General features: G+C 37.9%; 1 protein-coding gene across 25 annotated transcripts in view; it reads left to right on the top strand.

The window, feature by feature from the left end:
- LRRC28 (leucine rich repeat containing 28) overlaps positions 1 to 21959 on the top strand; it is a 139249-nt gene that overhangs the window by 74382 nt on the left and 42908 nt on the right. For 16 of the 25 annotated variants that reach the window (NR_135758.2, NM_001321675.2, NM_001321680.2 and 13 more), the window contains one exon: positions 8061 to 8267. The exons of 2 other annotated variants lie outside the window; for them this stretch is intronic. Coding sequence is in view for 17 of the 23 variants with exons in the window: in NM_001321675.2 (NP_001308604.1) it covers positions 8061 to 8267 (207 nt within the window). In the remaining 6 variants the exon portion in view is untranslated. The remainder of the gene's footprint in view (positions 1 to 8060; positions 8268 to 21959) is intronic. 7 more of the 25 variants (NR_135755.2, NR_135757.2, NR_135753.2 and 4 more) reach the window with 1 other exon arrangement.

The raw sequence follows: 21959 nt of genomic DNA on the forward strand, positions 1-21959 counted from the left end.
TTTGGGGCAGGGAAGGACCGCCATCTGACGTATATTTTAATATCACTTTGACTTCTGTGTAGAAAATAGATTGGAAGGGGTGAGAATAGAAGAAGACGACCAATGGGAAGGCTTGTTGGTTGAGTTCAGGCAAGAGATGGTAATAGGCTGAGCTTGGTGTCAACAGTAGAGGTCTCGGAGAGGCTAACAGATTCAGTATGGATTTTGGAGTGTGGCCTCTTATGGGGCCCTCACCTACCTTTGTTCTGTATTTCTCTCTATTCTATAGAGGGTGTAAGTTACAGTGGTGTTCCCAGATTTGGTCATTACCCAGTTCATAAAATATCAATAAAATAAGGGTATGTTCTTTGCTTTTTAAAAAATAAAAAAAATGATTAAAAGGTTTTAAAAGGTATACTTTCTTACCTGGAAAATTATCTTCAGACCCCCATTAGGGTCCAGATATCATTTTACAGCATATTAATCACATTCTAGTTTATTCTTTCAGCAAAGAGATAATGGTGCCTCCTGTGTTCCAGGCACAGAGCTAAGGCATGTTACTGCAAAGATGGGCAAGACAGTCCCTGCCCTTTAAAAGGTCATGTCCTGGGGCAGAGCAAGCAAGAGCCAAGTAAACAGCTAAGTTACTATTCAACTTTGTGGAAAGAACCAGGCTGCTGAGTTAGCTTGGGTGGATGGTGGCTAGCGAGGCTTTAACACTTTATTGATGCTGCTGACTCTTTTGTGGTATTTCTGTATTTAATTTAATTTCTGTTCTTTTCTATCATCTAGTAATTTCTCACAATTTCTGGTCCATGATGCCTGCCAGTATTTTTTTTACTGCTTTTGTAGATTCTCTTTCCCACCTTTTAAAAAAATGTACACTCAGAAACATCTCAGACCTACTTGTTCATGATAAATAATCATTTTAAGTGTTGCTGGCTTTCATTTGCTAATATTTTGTTAAGGACTTTTGCACTTATGTTCATGAGGGATATTGGTCTGTAGATTTCTTATGATGTTTTTGTATGGTTTTAGTATCAGGGTAATGTTCATAGAATGAGTTGGAAAGTTTTTCCTCCTGTTTTCTGAGACAGTTTGTGAACAATTGATATTATTTCCTCCTTAAATATATAATAGAATTGAAATATTTGTTAGAATAGAAAAGCCATCTGGACCTGGTCTTTTCTTATGGGAGGATTTAAAGATTTAAAATTACGAATTCAGTTTGTTTTTTTTTAATTTTTTTTGAGACAAGAGTCTTGCTCTGTCGCCTAGGCTGGAGTGCAGTGGCACGATCTCGGCTCATGGCAACCTCCACCCCCCGGGTTGAAGCAATTCTCCTGCCTTAGCCTCCTGAGTAGCTGGGATTACAGGTGTGCACCACCACACCCAGCTAGTTTTTGTATTTTTAGTAGAGATGAGATTTCACCATGTTGGCCAGGCTGGTCTCAATCACCTGACCTCAAGTGATCCACCCACCTCCCAAAATGCTGGGATTATAGGTGTGAGCCACTGTGCCAGGCTACTAATTCAGTTTTTTAACTTGTGATACATCTATTTAGATTTTTATTGACTTCTTGAATTTGGTAATTTGTATCTTTTTAGAAATATGTTTATTTAAATTGCTAATTGGTTGAAATAAATTTGTTCATATTATAGTATGTCCTTTTAATCGTTTTAATTTCTGTAAAGTTAATAGTGATATTTCATCTTTTGTTCCTAGTTTTCCTAATTCAAGTCAGTTTTCCTTTTCTGTGTATGTATTTATTTGCTTTGGTTAGTCTAGCTAAAGGTTTGTCAATTTTGTTGTCTTTTTAAAGAACTAACTTTTGTTTTCATTGACTTTTTTTTCTGTTGCTTTTCTAATTTCTATTTCATTGATATCTACTCTAATTTTTATTATTTTCTGCTTATTTTTATTTTAGTTTTTACTTTTTCTTTTTTCTAAAGGTGGAAGCTTAGGAAATGGATTTCAGAACTTTCTTTTCTAATATAGGCATTCGAAGCTTTAAATCTCCCACTAATCATTTCCTTGGCTACATTCTATGCATTTTGATATCTTGTGTTGGTTGTTTCTATTTGGCAAAAATATTTTCAAAGTTTCCTTCTGATTTATTTTATTATTATGGGTTATTTAGAAGTGTGTTGTTTAATTTCCAAATACGGGGATTTCCTAGATTTCTTTCTGTTGTTGATTTCTAATTTAGTTACCTTTTGGTCAGAGAACATACTTTGTATGATTTAAATTCTTTTAAATGTGAGACTTAATAGTCTAGCATGTGGTCTGTCCTGGAGAATATACCATGTGCACTTGAAAAGAATGTGTGTATTCTGCTGTAGTGTTCTTCTTAGATGTCAAATTAGGTCAGTTTGTTTGCAGTGCTGATCATAATCCTGAAAGATACAGTCCTGAATGTGAGAACCCCAAATGTTGAAAGATCGAGTTTCCTAAAGATGAGAACGCCTAACATATAAAATTCTAAAAGTCACAATTGTGAAAGATCAAAATCCTGAATGTTGAAATCCTGAAAGCCGAATTCTAGGGAAGGAGTTTTAGTACATTTTGGTTTTACCAGGATAGTTGCATCATGTTAGGTGGAACTATTACCTTGTTATTGTCTTTATTTGGAAATTAGGTGTGGTTTAAGGAGACACATGAGTGCCAGGTTGACAAGGAGTGGACTCGTGGCCTTAATTTTAGGTGTCAACTTGACTGAATTAAGAAATACCTAGAAACTTGATAAAGCATTATTTTGGGTGAGTCTGTGAGGTAGTTTCCAGAGGAGACTAGCACATGAGTCTGAGTGGACTAGGTAGGGAAAATCTGCCCTCATTACTGGTGGGCACTATCTAGTAGGCCAGAGAGGACAAATACTGAAGGTGAATTGGTCTGTGTCTCAGAGAAGGGACAGCCTTTTCTCCTGCTGCCTTAGACATTAAAATTCCAGGTTTGACATCCTTTGGGCTCCAGGATTTACACCAGCAGCCCGCCGGGTCCTGAGGCTTTTGATCTCAAACTGAGAGTTGCATCATTGGCATCCTTAGTTCTGAGGCCTTCAGACTGGGACTGAGCCACACTGTAGATATCCCAGCGTTCCAGCTTGCAGACAGTCTGTCATGGGACTTCTCATACATGAACTGATTCCCATAATAAATCCCTTCTCATATATCTATATACATATCTTATTGGTTCTGTCTCTTTGAAAAACTCTAATACAGATTTGGTATTGGGGAAGCCAAGTATCATTCCTTCTTACCATTTTCCTTTTAACACAATGGAACAGATCAGTGAAATTGTTCTCTTGCAAAAACGCTGAGATAAATTAAGTGTATGAGGCTACTTAATGGTAAAAGATAAATTTTAAAATATAATTGGTGCTGTGAATACAGAAAATCACTTAATTGTAATGGTAAAGCCATAACCAGACTTTCAAACAGACAGCATACACTTCAAAAAGTTGTAGAACACAACCACCCTCCAAATATAAGTGGAGAGAGTTTTGAAGATCATAGAAGTGAAAATGCAAGTAAAAAATACAAGAAATCTCCCCTGCCAAATTTTTCAGTGGTGTACAACTTCTGCCCCTTCACTCATAGTGCCACTTTGTTATGCTGAGCATTCCATCTTCGCATAATTTCCAACACTGGAGGTATAAATTGTGTAAAAATTTCGAGAGTTCTAATTTATTGTGTGCATTTTTATAAATTTGAGTCCATAAAATTACATTATTACAATGTTAACTTTGGGTATAAGCATTGGGCATGTGTGGAAAAGGTTGAAACTTCCTCAGTAAATGAAGAGATGTCCATTTTGTACATCTGCATATGTGAAAGATAAAATTTCTTGAGATCTTCGCTCTTTGGATATGGATAACTGCATATTCAGTGGTTGACCCATCATAGTTTTTCATTGATCTCGTCAGAAGACTTAGGTTGTTCATCATGGTATTTCATGCAGCTGACTGCAGTTATAAAGCTGGCTGCACGTGGTCGCCAACCATAGTGGTATGCGTGTATGCATTTTGCTTTTTGACATATTTCCTTATGAATATGGTTTTTCTGCTTGTAACTATTATACCCATGCACCTATGATTAATATATCTGAGTGTTTATGCTTGCAAAAAATATGTATGTTTATTGCCTATTTTATTGCGTAAAGTGACCTATCAAGTATTGTTAGGTTTTTATGTTTCTAAAATAAACCCTCTTTATAAAATAAATACATGTCTTTTTTAAAAAAGGAATTTTTAAAAATTCTTTCGAGAATTATACTTTTGGGATATTGATCTTTCAGGATTGTGATTTTCATTCAAATTTTACACTTTATTGATTTTGGATCTTTCAGGATTTCAACATTTGGCATTATGGTTGTCAGGAGTGTGTCTTTTAGGATTTTGGCCCAAGCCCATTTGGTTGATTGTGTAGTTTTAAGTTTTCTATATTCTTAGTGGTTTTCTGTTTAGTTGTTTTATTTTTATTGAGAGTAATGTATTAAACTCTCCATCTATCATGTTGAAATGTCTGCTTTCCCTTCCAGTTCTGTCAGTTTTTTGCTTTATATAATGTTAGGCTCTCGTTACATGTCTATATATTTATAGTTGACTTATTTTTCTAAAGTATTATCCATTTTACTATTATGAAATATTCGTCTTTGCCTCTTATAGCATTTCTTGTCTATTTTTTTCTGATATGAATATAGCTGCTCTCTCTTATGTTACTTTTTGCATGGTATTTTTCCCATCCTTTTACTTTTCAACCTATTTGTGCCTTTGAATCTAAAGTGTATTTCTTATGGATAGCATATTGTTTTTTATGCGGTTGACAGCCTTCCCATTTGAGTGGGTTATTTAGTCTGTTCACATCTAATGTAATTATTGATATGATTGTGTTTATTAATACATCAACCATTTTGCTATGTGTAGTCTACATATCTTGTATTTTTTTCCCCATACCTCTCCTTTTATTGCCTTTTTTCATGTTAGATAAATATTTTTAGTGTGCAATTTCAGTTACTGTGCTGACTTTTTTTAACTATATATTTTTAGTTATCTTCTTGTTTCCTCTGAACATGATGAGTCATTTTTCTGTTGATGCTTTCAAGATTTTTTATGTATCTTTGTCTTTTATAGTTTGATTATGATGTGTATAGGTGTGGGTCTCTGTGTTTATCCTACTTGGTTTTTATCAAGCTTCTTAAGTCTTTAATATTTCTCATCAAAATTTAAATTCATAATCACACATTGTTGCCCCATTTTACAATAACGCAAAAAAAGTGCAAGCCTTAGTAATTTTTGCAGCCATGTAAAAACACTTTTTTGCACATTTAATTATTTTTGAAATATGTTCAAAATCATTTATTTTACTTGCTGCCATGTAAATTTTGATGGATTTTTTTCAAATACCTTTAGGTAGATGGTTTGCAGATAATGCAATTCAGAGGTATTGATGACATTTTAATTGTTTTTCTATAAAAATAAATTTTTAGCATTGGCATCAGCACACTTAGAGTGTAATAGTCTAGAAGCTTGTGCCTGTCTTTGACTTATTCCTATTTTATTATTTTCCATATCCGATCAAACCTACCTCATGCTTCTGTTAAAAGTACCTCTGGAATTTGTCTTCAAATTCTATTGCACTGCCTCTGTCCTAGTCAAATGCCTACTTGTTTTGTCAGCCTAGGATCTCTTTCCATATCATTGCTTTCTGCATATTTGCCTGTCTAGCCTTTCCAAAAAACATCCTTTCATCCTTTAAGAATCTTCGGGAGATGTCATATTCTCACAATAGCAAGTCCAGGCTCCTCTACCCAATATTTATTATCATTCCTGTCTCCACCAAGCTCTCTCTCTCTCTCTCTGTTGAATTTATTTTCTGCTCTTCTCCCATTGGTGTCTCTGTCATTTGCTGGTCCCCAAAGAGCCCATTGTGCAAGCTGTATGTAGTTTTTCACCTCCATGCTTTTCCTCATGGTTTTAACCCCCCGCCATGCCCTGCTGGGAATGCTTTATGCATTTTCTTTGTGCCTTATTCAAATTCCCATCTCCAAATTCAGATTTTGGAAGAGTTTCTCCAAGCCTTCACATAACCTTCTCTGAGCTCCTCTTGCACCTCGTCGGTTGTGTGTGATATGCTTCTCAATGGCAGAGGCCTTGTCTCATCATTGTCTTGACACGGGCTGTGGTATGTCTGGGATTGGTTACTCTTCTCTCCCACATAGTCATTTTTTGATTTTTAAATTTAGTTCTTTTTCTTTTTTCTTTGTATTTCTTCTTATGACTTATAAAACACGATGATTCTTCCTCATATTTTATCCCCACACCCCTGAAATCAGAAGCATTTTTGTTTTGTGAAAGAGATAGACAGGCTTAGCAAGGTGGAGTACTATGCCAGTGGAGCCAAGCGTGAAATTGACTCTCCTATGCACCAGTTAAGTTCAAGTAGAAAACTCCCTTTCAGAGTCACAGGCTGTATACTGAATCCTACCTGCCCGCTCCACTGCAGATGTATATTTTGTTCAGTATTGAGGAAATTGAGCAGTAACGTATGAACTTCCTAGCACAAATTCGTAAATATTAGAAAAATAACTACAAGTTAGGGTATTTTGGACTTGTATTACTTTTATAAAGTAAAATAATTATTTTAAATCCTCCTACTAACAAAAAGTCTATAGCAAAGATCAGCAAACCTTTTCTGTAAATGGCCAGATAGTAAATATTTTTAGGTGTTGCAGGCCACATATGTTCTCTGTCACATGTTCTTTGTCTTTATTGTTGTTTACCATCCTTTAAAAATGTAAAAAACCAGTTTCAGCTTGCAGGCAGGACAAGAGCAGGCCATGGGCTAGATTTGGCCTGTGAGCCATAGTTTACCACCAGCTGGTCTGTAGCAATGAGAAAAACTAATCTGTTTAATTGAGCATCCAAGACGGCAGAAGACTCTTACCCAGTAGAGAAGACATTGCTAATACTAATCCAAGTGTTGTACAAACTGGAATGTGCACAGAGGGGTACTGTCAAGTGGTAGAGCTTGGGAAACCTTAACCTAGGAGGAATGACTCGGGAACAGGGACAGGATGAGAGAAGGGGAAACCTTAACCTAGGAGGAATGACTCGGGAACAGGGACAGGATGAGAGAAGGCAAGAGATAGTATCACAGTGGTCTTCAACGTCTCAGTCTCCATGATGTGAAAGTAGGCTTGTCCTGCACAGTGCTGACTGTAGGTCTTCAGTGTAATGTGCTGACCTGGGAAACAGTAAATGTCCTTCCCCTAAAATGGTGATTTTCCCTGAGAAGGACTAAGTTCCTTGTAAGGAACTTCCTAATCTTCACTCAAGTCTTAAGTGATTTGATGTATGAAAAGGACCTAATTGTACTCTCCATGGAAGAGATGACAACTGTAGACATCAATGATGAGGGAATTTTGGAGTAAATGGAAGTATTTAATTTGGGAATTAAAGTAAGTCTTTATAGGGTATGTATACTTTGGGTTTTTTAAAAGGTGCCGCATGCCTAAACGGTATCTAAAAATGTTAGTTAACTGTATCTCATTTTATTGTTACAATCTTTACCATGGTGAAAATTTCCAAAAGACATTCTAATTTCTACTCCAGAAATCTGTTTAGCTCATATGAACAAGTTGCACTTACTTCATTGCTATTATTCATAAATCTCCTATTTTCTTCTTAGATGGATGGTAAAATCACACAAGTGGCAAAAACCAGGTTCCTTGAAATGACTGTAATTGTTCTTTTCTCACCCTGGCAACAAACTTGACTCATCAAGATGCAGAAGCCATAGTGACAGACTTCTGGTTCAGACTCACCACTTTGTGTCTCTTTTTTTCTCCATGCTACCCAGCCCTTTTCTCCATTTAAGAAATGTTGGCAGGGTAATTTAAAAACACTCACCTAGCTTGGATTATTTGCATTTTCACCAAAAATCCTGCACTTCAGCATTCATGTTTATGGGAATAGTCGCAGCTACTGATTTCATTTGGTTAAACTGTTATAATATTGATTCATTTTGTTTATTTCAGTTCATAAGGATGCAATTTATCCTAATTTTGATTTTGGTTGTAGAGGTTGGCGATTTGAAGGAGCTGCAGACACTAGACATTTCTACCAATCGTTTGCTAACTTTACCCGAGAGGCTTCACATGTGCCTTTCTCTGCAGTACCTCACTGTGGACCGAAATCGTCTATGGTATGTGCCGCGCCATCTCTGCCAGCTGCCCAGCCTCAATGAGCTCTCCATGGCTGGAAACCGTCTTGCATTTTTGCCACTTGGTAAGTGATTGTGTTTAAAGTAAAGCAGCCAAAGAATAAGATGGAAAGCCTTTGTTTCTTTGACTAGAACCAATTAGTTAGTTTCCTTCCTTCTGTTTATCTTGACGATTGCTTCTCTAAGTTTGTTTTTGCAGTGAACAAAGCGTCATTCCTAGCTAACAAATGGAATTTATTTCAGTGAGGGATTTTATACTTTAAAAAAGAAATCTGTGCTAAAACTGTGTTTAGGGATAAAATATATGAGATGATTTCCTCAGAGAAAGGAATTAAAGAGTGTGTGTGTGTGTGTGTGTGTGTGTGTGTGTGTGTGTAAGGTATTGAACAATATGAAAAGATAGCTAGCTACGGGTCTTAAGTATTGGCTTAGATGTTGACTTCTCCCTAGAAAAATTGGTATTGGGTATCCTAATAATTAATATTGCCAGATAACCAGATTATAAAACTTTAAAGACCTTAAAATTGGCTGAACTTCCTGCTGAGCTAGAAATGTCAGCCTGGCTAAAAAATAATATATTATCCACTGTAGAGTTCTGTAGCTGACCCATTTTGACATATTATATGTCATAGTACATAGGCCTTGAATAAAACAGTACATTTATTTTATAGATAGCTGAATAATTTTGTTAACTTGTAAGAAACAAAAGTGCCATTTAAAAAAATTAAAATATGAGGCCACTTTGAACCTTAAACTGTCACAATAAGCATCATATGATTTTACTCATAAAAGCATTTTTATAATTTATCTCTGAGGGTAGTAAAGTGAATAATTTACTAGTCCCTAAAGGAAATATTTTCCAAGATAATACAATGCACATATTATTTTCAATTTAATATGTTCAAGGTAACTTTAAAATAATGGATACATTAAAATCAATGGAAGTAATAATCAAATTTGAGGAGATTATTTTTCCATAAATATAATTAAATTTTGTATTTATAAAATTAACAAAATGAAATGAGGCCGTTTCAGAAGCAGGCTACATTTCTAAGAAATCAGAGCTTCTTTCAAGTGAGAAAAATATCAAATATAAATAGAATTAAAAAAATAAATGTACCTGCTGCACTAACCCCACAGGTCATAGACCGATTATGGTGGTCAAGCACCAAATTACAAATCTAGAGCTCCAGCTTATAGCCTGATTCCACCATTTCACAGTGTGTGACCTGGAGTAAGTCACCAGAACCTCTCTGAGCTTCATAAATTTTATTTTCTGTGAGCCAGAGATCATATTTATCCTGCTTCCTTTATAGTTATTTTGAAGTTGAATATGATAGTTTATGTATAAGAATTATAAAGCACTGTACAAATGTAGATGATTCTCAAATGAGAAGATACAACTTGTAGATTACCATATCTGACTTAAAAAATTTTTATTCTTGAGCCAGGCATGGTGATGCATACCTGTAGTCCCAGCTACCCAGGAGGCTGAAGTGGAAGGATCACTTGAGCCCAGGAGTTTAAGGATGCAGTGAGCTATGACTGTGCCTGAGAATAGCCACTGCACTCCAGCCTGGGCAACATACCAATACCCTGTCTCTAAAAATTTTTTTTTACCCCCCTCACATTCACCCCCTCTCCTTGTGGTAAGTACCTAAGCTTGTATTTACCACTTCATAATGGAGATGGAAGTGTGACCTACACCAGTGCCAACTCCCTTCCAAGTGATTGCCAGGATGTTGCAGTCAGTGCTGGCAATACATGAGGGAAGGCAAGGAGAGAAGGAGGGAGGGAGATAAAGGATGTGATGGTTTGATTTGTGTGGCATGAAATGCAACTTACTGGCATAACACCAGAGTTCAGAGTAAAGTTGCAAATTTCATTATAAGCAGCCTTTAACTTACTGTGGCTTGACTTTCAGACGTTACCAGAAACAGATTAGGTTGTTAAGTCTGGGGTCGCCTATACTACTATTCATAATGTTGTTGTTATTACAGACAATATATGTAAAAAGGAGTGTTTCCATGTGCAATAATGGTATTATGTATACTACTATGACTATTTGTAAGAATAATAATAGCTACCATTTATTGAGCACCGAGTCTTCGGCCAGGTACTCTGTTTAATTGCTATACATATGCTCACTAATTTAGTTATTACAAAACCTTATGACAAAATCTATTATTATAAAAGTTATTGGCAACCTAATTTTATAGATAAGGAAATTGAGGCTCACAGAAGTTAAGTTACCTGCCAGAGTCACAGCTAGTAAGAGACAGAATTGAGTTTCAGACTTGTCTGATTCTAAACCTACATTCTTGCCACATTGACATGCTGTCTCCATATTTCAGACATGGTCTCTCTACAGGGGGCCCTTATTTGGGAATAGGGCTGAACCATATTGAGCATCTTTTAGTTGTTGTGTGGCCGTTTCCAGTGTCAAAGTTTGGCTCTGCCATTTTGGGCTCAAGATACTCCTATTGACACTCTCGTTGGCCTCATTCAATCTCTCTCTCTATTCACTTAGCAAGATTACCTGCTAGAGGCTAGCGCTTTCTCTCACCTACCCACTCCGTACGCCAACCAGGTGCTCCCAATTACTTGTTTCCATCTGGCCTAGTGTCAGTAGCTTCTGCATCAACAGAAATCTTATAAAAGCCTAGGCCTGAGACCTGTTATCTAGGTCTGTCTTGGTGCTGATAGTAACTCTTCTTCCATTGCCCGGCCCCTGCAACTTCAGCAGAACTCCTGGTTCCTTAATTTGGAGGTGTGCTCCTAATAACTTGTTTTTCTCTTGTCTTGGTTATTCCATTACATATCCTTTGTCTCAGCTGTGAACCATTCATACAACTACTGGCTACATTGAGCCTGCCAGAGTCTGATCCACAGCCCTGTTCTCTTGTCTGATACTCACATGTGCTCTTACCAGAATGCCATCTGGTTCTAGAGCCCTGGCTCTGCCTAGACTCCTGCATACAATTGAACTCCTTAAGTCGAATGACTTTTGTTTGCTGCAGCTGGTTTCTGTGCCCTTCACCTTTGCCTATTCTCCCTCCCTCACTATAGCTCCTTAGCCCTGGCTCCTCATTCCCCTAGTCATTGGCCACTCATTCCTGCCTTTCTTTCAGCAGTGACAAAAGCTGAGTATGTGCCAAGGTGGCAGTGTTGTTGGGAGAATAGAGGGAAGCCATTCCCATAGGAAGCTGACCACTGTAATGTTTGGGGTCCTGGGGAGTGACGCTGTGTGTCATGCTGAATGCTTGCAGCAACAGAGGACCTGACTTGCAGTGGCTGGTGCAAGGTGATAGAAATGGTTGTTGGGTAGAGAACTGAGTGCTACATACACATAGCTAGGCTGCTCTTCTGCCTTGGCACTCTCAGTTATTTACTAGGGCATTTTCTGCATGCACCATGCTAATGGCCGGTGTGGCTAAGGAGGTGGGCATCTCTTCTTTGGTACACAATCTTCAGTGCTGAGTTGAATTATTACAGAGTAGCTTCTTCTGTCTCTAGGTTTCTTGTCACTCCAAAGCCTTGCCTCTGTGTCAGGAGCAACTTTCCTTTGTGAATTTGTGAATGTGGTGTCAAAGAACTTTAGAGGCAAGAGGGTCTGCTCTGCACTTTGAGGAGGATGCCTTATGGCAGTTGAAGTAACCACAACTCCCAAGTCGGGCTGCAGATAGCCCAGGATAGGAAGCAGCTTCCACAAGGCTCTGGGCACCATCCTGGCTCACAAGGCTTACAGCCCTGGCAGAACATGGGCCTGTGAGTAGGTTTTACTTTACTTAAGAAAAGCATACAAGCAAGAGGATGATGATGATGATGATGAAGATTATCCAGTATAAAAGAAGCAGGCTACCTGAAGCAATGCTCTGCCCTGGTCTAAAACTGAATTCTTTGAGAACAGCAGGAAGAAAGGATCAGGGAGCAAATGCAAGCCCCGGTGGCCTTGCTACATCTGGTATACTGGATATTCTTTGTAAGAAATGGAGGAGACAGCTGGAGACCTCTGTGTGAGGTCACTCAAGGAAGGCTTCAGGAGACTGGAGACAGGATAATCCACGGAGATGAAGAAACTGAAGCTGACCAAAATAGCCACAGTCTCCTCAGTCTTGTCTTTCTGTTTCTGGGGGTATTTTTTGCCATCATGAAGATCGGTGTGGAAATTGAATTCAGTTCTGTGTTTAGGAAGAAAACAATTAAGTTTATACACTTAAAACCTTTCCATGAACCGTTTTCTGAAAAACCAAAGCCATCTAATGCTAAGAACTATCTGGGAGAGAGTCAAACAAAGCATGCAGCCTCTGGCACTGCCTTTTTTTAGAGAACTGAACTGTTCTTAGAAACTTAGCAAATAGGGGTACCTCTTTACAGTAGTTTGGAAATACTCTGCACATACACACAGGCACACACTCACGTGTACCCCTAAGGTTTTCAAATATTAGAAGGCTCCTGTGTTCTAAGAGCCTTGATTCTATAAACATAATACAGGAACTTAAAAGTTTTATGAAATGAATGCTGTGATATCGCTCCCTATGATGGGAGGTGGGAATCTTACTTTGGGGAGCCACTTAATGAATTCAATTTCTTGCCAAAGAAGTGTGATTTAGGAGAAAACCAGTTTTTAAGTGGCTTCTTAGAGAAATGTAAGATTATAGCCTCTTCAAAAGGTAACTAGAGACACCACCTGTAAGGATGACTTAAATCACTTATAATACTGTCTAACCCATTAACAGTCTTTGAGTATGTTTCCCTAAGTCACTTGTAATACTGTTGAAACCATTAAGACTCTTTGACTATGTTCTTCTTAAGATGAAAAGATGCACCGGAAGAAAAGGATGTTCCTATTATTACTATGCCATCACAACTGAGTGACAGAAGATTCTACAGATAGAAGCTTTGTTCACAGTGGTGACTATCAGCAAGGAGGAGGGAAAGCAGTCACTTGAGCCTAGTGCTGTGAAATTTAATAGAGGCCTCGAGACGTGAATATTTGCTTTTGATTCAATACAGCTCTGTTAACTAACTCAGAGAACTGCAACTCATTTCTTGGCTTCTGAAAGTGTAGGGAGATATAAAGAAAATGATTTTTTTCTCTAAGGCTTTTTAACCATGCGCTTCTGGTTTTCATTGCATAATTAATAAGTCCAATTATCCAGGCGTGTTTACAACTTATTCAATGTTGAATAATAGATATAAGGATTGTGTTCCGTTCACAAATTGACTATGGAAGAGCATCTTTAGTTAGCTCCCAGGAAATGCCACGTCAGCCAAACTCAAGGCCAGTAACTTCTGTAGTTTAAGAAAACAAGAAAACAAAAGTTGTATCCACTTTAGCGATGGAATTCTTATTCAATGTTAACTTAAAAAAACAGTGATTGGGCTGGGAACCGTGGCTCACGCCTGTAATCCCAACACTTTGGGAGACTGAGGCAGGTGGATCACTTGAGGTCAGGAGTTCTAGACCAGCCTGGCCAAGATGGTGAAACCCCGTCTCTACTAAAAATACAAAAATTAGCTGGGTGTGGTGGCAGACACTTGCAATCCCAGCTACTGGTGAGGCTGAGGCCCCAAAATCGCTTGAACCCGGGAGGTTGCAGTGAGCCGAGATCGCACCACTGCACTCCAGCCTGAGCAACAGAGTGAGAAAAAAAAAAAAAAGCGATTGAATTTGTAATCAGGAACGTTTAGCACAGGACATTGAGATTTACAGAATAGCTTGTGCATAAACCACCACGTAGTAAGCCCAACAGCTAGTAGAAAATAACTTTCTACGAGGGAAAATTAACTGGGTTTCTAAACCAGCCCCAGAATTATCTCTTGGAGATTCTAGTAGTGTTTATTTTCTTGGGAAGAGTTATTCTGTGTATCAAGGACTTGTGCTACATAATGAAATGATGTTTGAAAAATATCAAATATAAATAGATTTTTAAAAATAAATGTACCTCTGCATTAACCTCAAATTGTTTATAGAAGAATTTTAGTGGACAAGCAAGCACGTGAGTGCAGAGAGTCATGTTTTAGCGTGATTCTACCACTCCTCCAGATCACACACTGTGACTTTGATAAGGGTATAAAGCTGGCCCTTTATCACATAACAGGAGAACACTCCAGTTTTTTGTAGTGGTAGTACACTTGTATTTGTTTGTAGGAATTGGATGCCTTATGTAGAAAGAACATATAGCAAGTAATGGTGCAGTTTTAGAAACTAGCTCCTAGGCATTTTCAAAGCACATGCTGAAATCCCTTCTCTTTTTGTAAATGGCATATAAAAGGCACAAATCTGTTAACTGTACTTGTTTTTTCTATTGCCTCTTGTTCCTACTTTCTCTGTATTTGCTTAGAAAGTCAGGAAAAGAATTGCTGTTTACTATTTTTTAATAAAAAAGTCCACACAGTAAAACTATTTAAACTTCAATCAACTATTGAAACGAGTTGGAAACCAGTTAATAATTTCCTAATCTCAGACTTGGAGATGAGTGTAAACTGTACTGTACTGAACTGTGAATGTATTTCATCTGCAGTTTGAAGAACTATGGCCTTGACGTCATTATTTAATGGGACTAATTTGCAGAATTTGTGGCCTTAAGTAAATTTCAGTAAAGAACTTCATTCTAGTATGGACAAAAAGTCCGAGAAGTTGGAGTGAGTTCTGTGTTTGAGTAGAAGGTATGAAAGGTGTGATAGCTGCTTTCAAAAAGGGGGCCCAAACATGTGACAAAATGATGTTCTATAGTAATTGCTGGGCAGGTCTCTATCTAATGAAAACAGAGAAGAGAAAGTCTTGAAAACAAGGTTCAAAATCTAGTAGTGGGAAGAAATGAGAGAATTAGTCAGTTAACAAAAATCCATACAGATCTTGTTTCACAAGAAAAGTTAGAGCTCTGGAATGCAAATTTTGTCAAGGAAATGGATGTGCAATGCTTCTTTTTGAGCTCTGTCTTTTTCTAAGTATTTGTAACAAAAACTCTTCTTTATCCTTGTTCTGCTTACTCATCTGATCCTATTCTACTGTCTTTTTTTTTTTTTTTTTTTTTTTTTGAGATGGAGTCTCGCTCTGTCACCCAGGCTGGAGTGCAGTGGCGTGATCTGGGCTCACTACAACCTCCACCTCCCGGGTTCAAGTGATTCTCCTGCCTCAGCCTCCCGAGTAGCTGGGATTATAGGCGCACACTGCCATGGATGGCTAATTTTTGTATTTTTAATAGAGATGGGGATTTCACCGTGTTGGCCAGGCTGGTCTCGAACTCCTGACCTCAGCTGATCCACCTGGCTCAGCCTCCCAAAGTGCTGGGATTACAGGCGTGAGCCACCGCGCCCGGCCTGTTCTGCTGTCTTCTGACAGTGCTTTGTTTTTCTTTCATTGCATAAGGGTTTTGCTCTTGTGTTAGGTTTTCCTAGGAAGCTAACAGGATTATTTCATGTGGCTTCTGCAGCACCTGCCAGATGTTGACTTACTATGCTAATGTATGAAGAGAAAAGTGCACCTAGATTAGGTGAGCTTTAAATGAACAAATTTGTATTTTTCTCTAAGTTTTGGAGTAGGATTTAGGGGGTGGGACATGATTAATGTGAAGAAAGTGAGCCCTGTTCTCCCAAATATCAATTAAGAGAAAAAGAAATGTTCATTCTTAGGGCACAATGTGAAGTTTAGAAAAATAGCAGTATGAGGGCTAGCACCATGAGCAGAATGTTTACCAGGAGAGTTTTTTGTTGTTCTCGTTCTAGAACTCACAGCTTTTTAAATAGTGACAAAAATGTGCAGTACTAGTGAAGTCTGGAAGATGTTATGAATTGACTTAAAAGCAAGAATCTGGAGTCTCCATCAGTCATAGCTTTCAGTAAAGTTCTTAAGTTCCAAACAAACCAGAAAAACAGGAACATAGTGCAGCTGAGCAAGCAGTTCAAGGCACAATGCAGTGAAGACATTTTGCTCTTCATACAAGCAGCCATGGCAGTGTTGTATTTTCCAAGTCCATACTGGACAGTCAGCCTGTTTCCTTCTCTAGGATCTTCTCTGAAGGAATTCTTGGTATTTCTGCCATAAATCTGTAAATTAGAACTAGCCTACCAGTTTTCTAGACCTTTAAAGCAAGCAAAGAGAAACTTTTTTCCTCACTTATCTCTTTGGCAATGTCTGCTTCAAGACCCCACTCTGATACTACACCTGGATGCCTTGGGCAAGAACCAGCTCTCTCACCCTTAGCCCCCGGGGAATCCTGCTAGGTAGTACCACTCCCTGGCCTGCATGGGAGTGCCCTGCTTGTATCAGAATGATGTGTTGGGGGAGGCTGTCTAACTTCCGTCATGGTGAAACAGGCAGATGCGCCTTTCAATCCCAGCTCTACCACTTGATAGCTGTGGAATCTTGGACTTCGGAAGGTTATTGAAGTCTCAGTAAAAGGGTAATATTAGCACCTACTTCATAGCACGATTGTGAGAATAAGATCCATAAAACACATATCACTTACAAATACCACATAAGTATACAGTCAATATGAACTGTTTTACTCTGTAACTAGACTGTAAGGAAGTGTAGGAACTGTGTGTCTTCATGTTTGGACCCCAAGCATTGAGCACAGTGCCCAGCCCATTCCTTGTGATCTTTTTGTTACCTGAACTGTGCAAGAGAAATAGAGATTCTGCAGCATGAATATTTAAACCCACAGCAAAGGAAGCCTGCAGTCATTCAAATTCATTAAAATCTATTTATTTTAATTTAACAGTTGATGATCTACCATGTGTAAAGTTATCTTATTAAATTATAATTCACTGTGAAGTCTTATTTTGTAAAAGGTGAATAGAAAGACAGTGACTTTGTAAGAGAGTTAATGGAGTCTGTGTGTTTGTGTGTATTTAAAGAAGCTAGCACTTAAAAATTTATTACTCTGAGAAAGTGGTTGAAGGGTTCTCTTTGTAAAAAGCATCATGTAGGTAATTTAAATTCATTTTAAGAATTATTTTGGAATACACTGTAAATTATTCTGAATTTATTACTAAGAAGCCCACATTTTATAGTATTTAAAGCATTGTAATTATGACTAATAATATCTCTGATTTATTGAACTATGATAATTGGTTTAACATTGATAGAGCATTCCAAATAATTTATTTTGATTGATTGCTTTGATGTTGTTGTTTCTTTTGCCCCATCATTTTGTTGATGAGAATATACCATTCACCTTTTGATAAAATAAATGAATTTCATACTGGTCAGCATGAAGTAAACACAGATCCTGTTCTGTCCTCTCCTGTGCTGTCATTCCATGCTTGCTTTTACAGTATGGTTAAAAGGGCAGTAGCCTGAATACACAGGAGCTTTTTGTTCCATTTTCAGCCATGTGGACTGTGTATGCCAGAGCCTTGAGGTTATAAGCAAACAAACAAACAGAATTGGAGCTTGTGCAGGACTCCTAGATTTTGCTAATTTCTAAGTCAGAAACTTTGATCTGTGAGTTTGGAAGAAAAAAAGGAAATATTTTGGACACAATACAGTACTTTAAAAAGCCACATGAAAAAGTTCTTTGTGGCTGTAGCATCTGTACGACGGACAGCTTCCTTGCGTTATAGATTTTACATACTGAGCAATTTTGCACAGGAACTTTAAAAATATTATTGCGTGATGTATCTATTGTAAGGTATCGGTGCATTAATAGTAATTAAAGGAAGAAAACAAACCGCCCCAGTGGTTAGTACACGAGTGATCTCTTCCAAAGTTAATTATTGAGTGAAGGGTTTTTTATCTTAAGAATATAAGAAACATCTCAAAGCCTTTTCATGAAGTACACGTTCGTATTTCAGCCTCATAATGATTACGAATGCCATTCCATTGTGCTTGGGGGTTTTTGCCAGCCGACTGCCTTCTGGCCAGGTTCACGCTCTCAAGAGGCCATCACAGCATCGCCTTTACAGCCTGTGACCTTGCCCGGCGCTGCGGTGTCCTGGCCTCCCCACCAGGCTGTGCTGTGCCAACTAAAACAGCAGAGCTGCCTGGTTCTCTTCATCATCCTGCTGGTTCTCTTCATCATCCCACACTGTTTTGTGATCTCCTCTTTGTATTCAGAAGCAAGAGGTAAAAGACTAAGATGTATCGAGTACCAATTATTTTGCCAGGAATAAAGCTGGGCACTATATACGTTGTTTAATCTTCATAACAGGTCTGTGAGAAAGGTACTCTTATCCCCTTGTTGCACTGGAGGAAGCAGGCTCAGAACATTTCATTTCCCTTCATGTCAGGAAGCAGTTAGTAAGTGAGGAAGCAGGATTCAGACTCAGTTCTGACTCCATCACCCACTGCATTGTCTAATTTCAGTACTGCCACTCCCCACTCTATATCAGATTGTGTATTTGGAAAGTTTAAGTGTCTGTATTACATACTCATGTCCATGAGGCATTATGCTGGCTAATGTATAATACATCTGAACAGAGCAGATACTGATTTTCTTTCAGCTTTAACATAAAATAGTCTATTTCATGGTGGGCATATATAAAAAACTACCTTCCTCAGAATAGCCAGGAGGTGCAAACTGAATTATGTGGAATATTGAAAAGCTAAGACAAGATCTGAACCTAATAGCATTTTTAAATTATCAACTCATTTTTTCCTATAAAATTAACATAGGGAAAGAAGACTAAACTATGTAAGAAGTAGCAAGTGTCAGCTCTTATTTAACTGTATTGTATGATCTTTGCATGTCACCTCATTTAATTTGCATAAGCTCTTTTTGCAGTATAGAGAAAAGAGGTGCTTCCTCTGTCATGTCCCATTTTGTGCCCTTGGTTTGAGGGGATGAATCATTGTCTCTAGAGGCCGCTGCCTCCAACTCTTCTCTGTGCAATTAAAGTATAGAAAAGTGTTACTACCATTTGCTGCATGCCAAAGAGAATTCTCTCTTAACTGGCCTTCTTCTACTGTAGGCCGTACTTCCAAATATGTCACTTACTAATAATGAGAACAGTAACTGCCATATATTGGAGAAGGTTATGTGCCAAGAATGCTATTTGATAATTTGTAAACCTTGTTAGCAATTCTCACTAAACCTGAGGACAGCTTTATTTTCCCCATTATACAGATGAGGAAACTAAGCCGCACATTTAGTAAATAGAACAAGGATTCAAACCCCAGTTGTCGGACTCCAAGACTGTGCTCCTGCTCTCTTAACTAGTATGCCACACCCCTTACCATTGCATATACCCAGGTAAAGAGTATTTTCTGCTTTCTGTGAGCCCCCTAGGGGCTCTGAAAGACAAATCTGAGACCAGAGATCATTTGCATTTTATCAACGCAGTTTTATTTTGAAAAAATATTCCAAAGTGTTCTATGTACCTTTGAAGTCTTCTATTTGTGGCTATAGGACTTGTTGAGCACCTTTTCATCTACCTGTTGGCCTTTCATATATGTTCTTTGGAAAAATGTCTGTTTAGATGCTTTGCCCATATTTCAATCGATTGTTTTTCTTCTATTGAGTTGTAAGAGTTCTTTATGTATACCAGAGAAGTAGTGAAGAAATTTAAAATAGGAAATCTTAGTGCCTTGTTGAGGCCTTTTTTATGCAAGTGGATTCTGGTATTTATAGTTTTCCCATCTATATTTTATAAATGTATTGCCTTTTATACCAATAGATATGTCCATGCATGTTTACTTAAGTTAACAGTATGCAATATTTTGGTAATTCTCTAGGCTGATGCTTAAAAAACATATTGTATGGTGATTTAAATATCACAATTTTTTTAAACATTCAGTGACCTTGCAACCGATAAGATTGAGGGACCAGGTACTGTTACACCATTTAACATATGAGCAAACAGAAGCTCTGCTCACATGCCTTGTAAGTGAATAGTCAGACACATGAGTCCTCTTATCCCCACAGTGTGCAAATTATTCTCTTCAGTGACTTACTTCTAGGTTAACGCCTCTCTTTTTATTTTTTTTTTAGCAGGGTCTCGCTCTGTTGCCCAGGCTGGAGTGCAGTGGTGTAGTCATGGCTCACTGCAGCCTTGAAGTACTGGGCTCAAGTGATCCTCCTGCCTCAGCTTCCTGAGTAGGTGGGACTCTAGACATGGGCCACAATGCCCAGCTAATAGTCATTTGTTCATTCATTCATTCATTCATTCATTCATTTGTTTTGAGACAGGGTCTTGCTCTGTCACCCAGGCTAGCGTGCAGTGGTGCAGTTGTGGCTCAGTACAGCCTGGAACTCCTGGGCTCAAGTGATCTTTCTGCCTCAGCCTCCTGAGCAGCTGGAACTATAGGCATGTGCCACCACTCCCAGCTAATTGTTTTGTAGAGACAGTATCTTGCTGTTTCCCAAGCTGATCTTAAACTTCTGGCCTTAAGTGACTCTTGTTTACTTTTGTTTTATGATAAATTACATTTTAATACAATAAGAAATAAAATTAATGCAGAGTAATCCGTGGTAAACAAAATAGCAAAAATTTGAATCAAGACAGGATCTGGCAATGCCGTGTTGAGACATTTGAAGCCTAAGGCAAAAGGAAAAATGTGCACTCCTGTGATTTTTTTCTAGAACATTAATTTTTTTAGGGCATTAAAGTACTTGAAAAAATATCAAAAACTGAAAGTAGATGTATTAAAACTTGACATTATTCTAAGTTTAAATATTTTGTTTATACTAAAGCCAGAATTCATTGTAAATTTACTTCTCTAGCTTTAATGGAAGCACACTCATCAAAAATATTTTCATTACAACCATTACCTATTAAAAAAATAAATAAAAACCTGTATGCGGGGTACACATTTTTCCTTTCCAAATTGCATGACCTCTGTTCAGTGTTATTTTCCATTGAAGAAGTTTGTGTGTATATATATATTTAAGTAAATTTTATTATGTATATTTCAGGTTTATAACACGATATTATGGGATACAAATAAATAGTAAAGTGGTTACTGTAGACAAACAAATGAACATATCTATCATCTCACATAGTTTTTCATGACAAGAGCAGCTAAAAATTTATTTAACAAAATTCTGTAATACAGTACAAGTTTATTAACCATAGTCTTCATGTTGTACATTAGATCTCTGAACTTGTTCATCCTATATGTCTGCTATTTTCCATCCTTACCTTCTTCCCACATGATAACGCCTGTTTCAATCTCCTTGTGTACGTGAGCTCCCTTTTTTTTTTTTGTCTTTTTTTAGATGGAGTCTCCCTCTGTCACCCAGGCTGGAGTGCAGTGGTGCTATCTCGGCTCACTGCAAGCTCCGCCTCCCGGGTTCACGCCCTTCTCTTGCCTCAGCCTCCCGAGTAGCTGGGACTACAGGTGCCCGCACCATGCCTGGCTAATTTTTTTGTATTTTTAGTAGAGACGGTTCCACCGTATTAGCCAGGATGGTCTTGATCTCCTGACCTCGTGATCTGCCCGCCTTGGCCTCCCAAAGTGCTGGGATTACAGGCATGGAGCTCTTTTTAAAAAAATACTCTGTATATAAGTGAGACTGTGCAATATTTTTCTTTGTATGTCTGGCTTATTTCACTTAGTATAATGTCTTCCAGATTCATCCAGGTTTGGCATAAATCTTTCTTTTTTAAGGCTGAAAAATATTCCATTATGTATATGTACCACATTTCTTTATCTAGTCATTCATCAATGGGCATTTACATTGTTTCCATATCTTGGATGTGGTGAATAATGCTGCAGTGAATATGGGAGTGCAGATGTCTTTATGAGGCGATGACTGTGTATCTCCTTTAGATATATACCCAGGAGAGGGATTGCTGAGTCATGTGGT

Source organism: Homo sapiens, chromosome 15, assembly GCF_000001405.40.
Source record: "Homo sapiens chromosome 15, GRCh38.p14 Primary Assembly".
Lineage (NCBI taxonomy): Eukaryota > Metazoa > Chordata > Mammalia > Primates > Hominidae > Homo > Homo sapiens.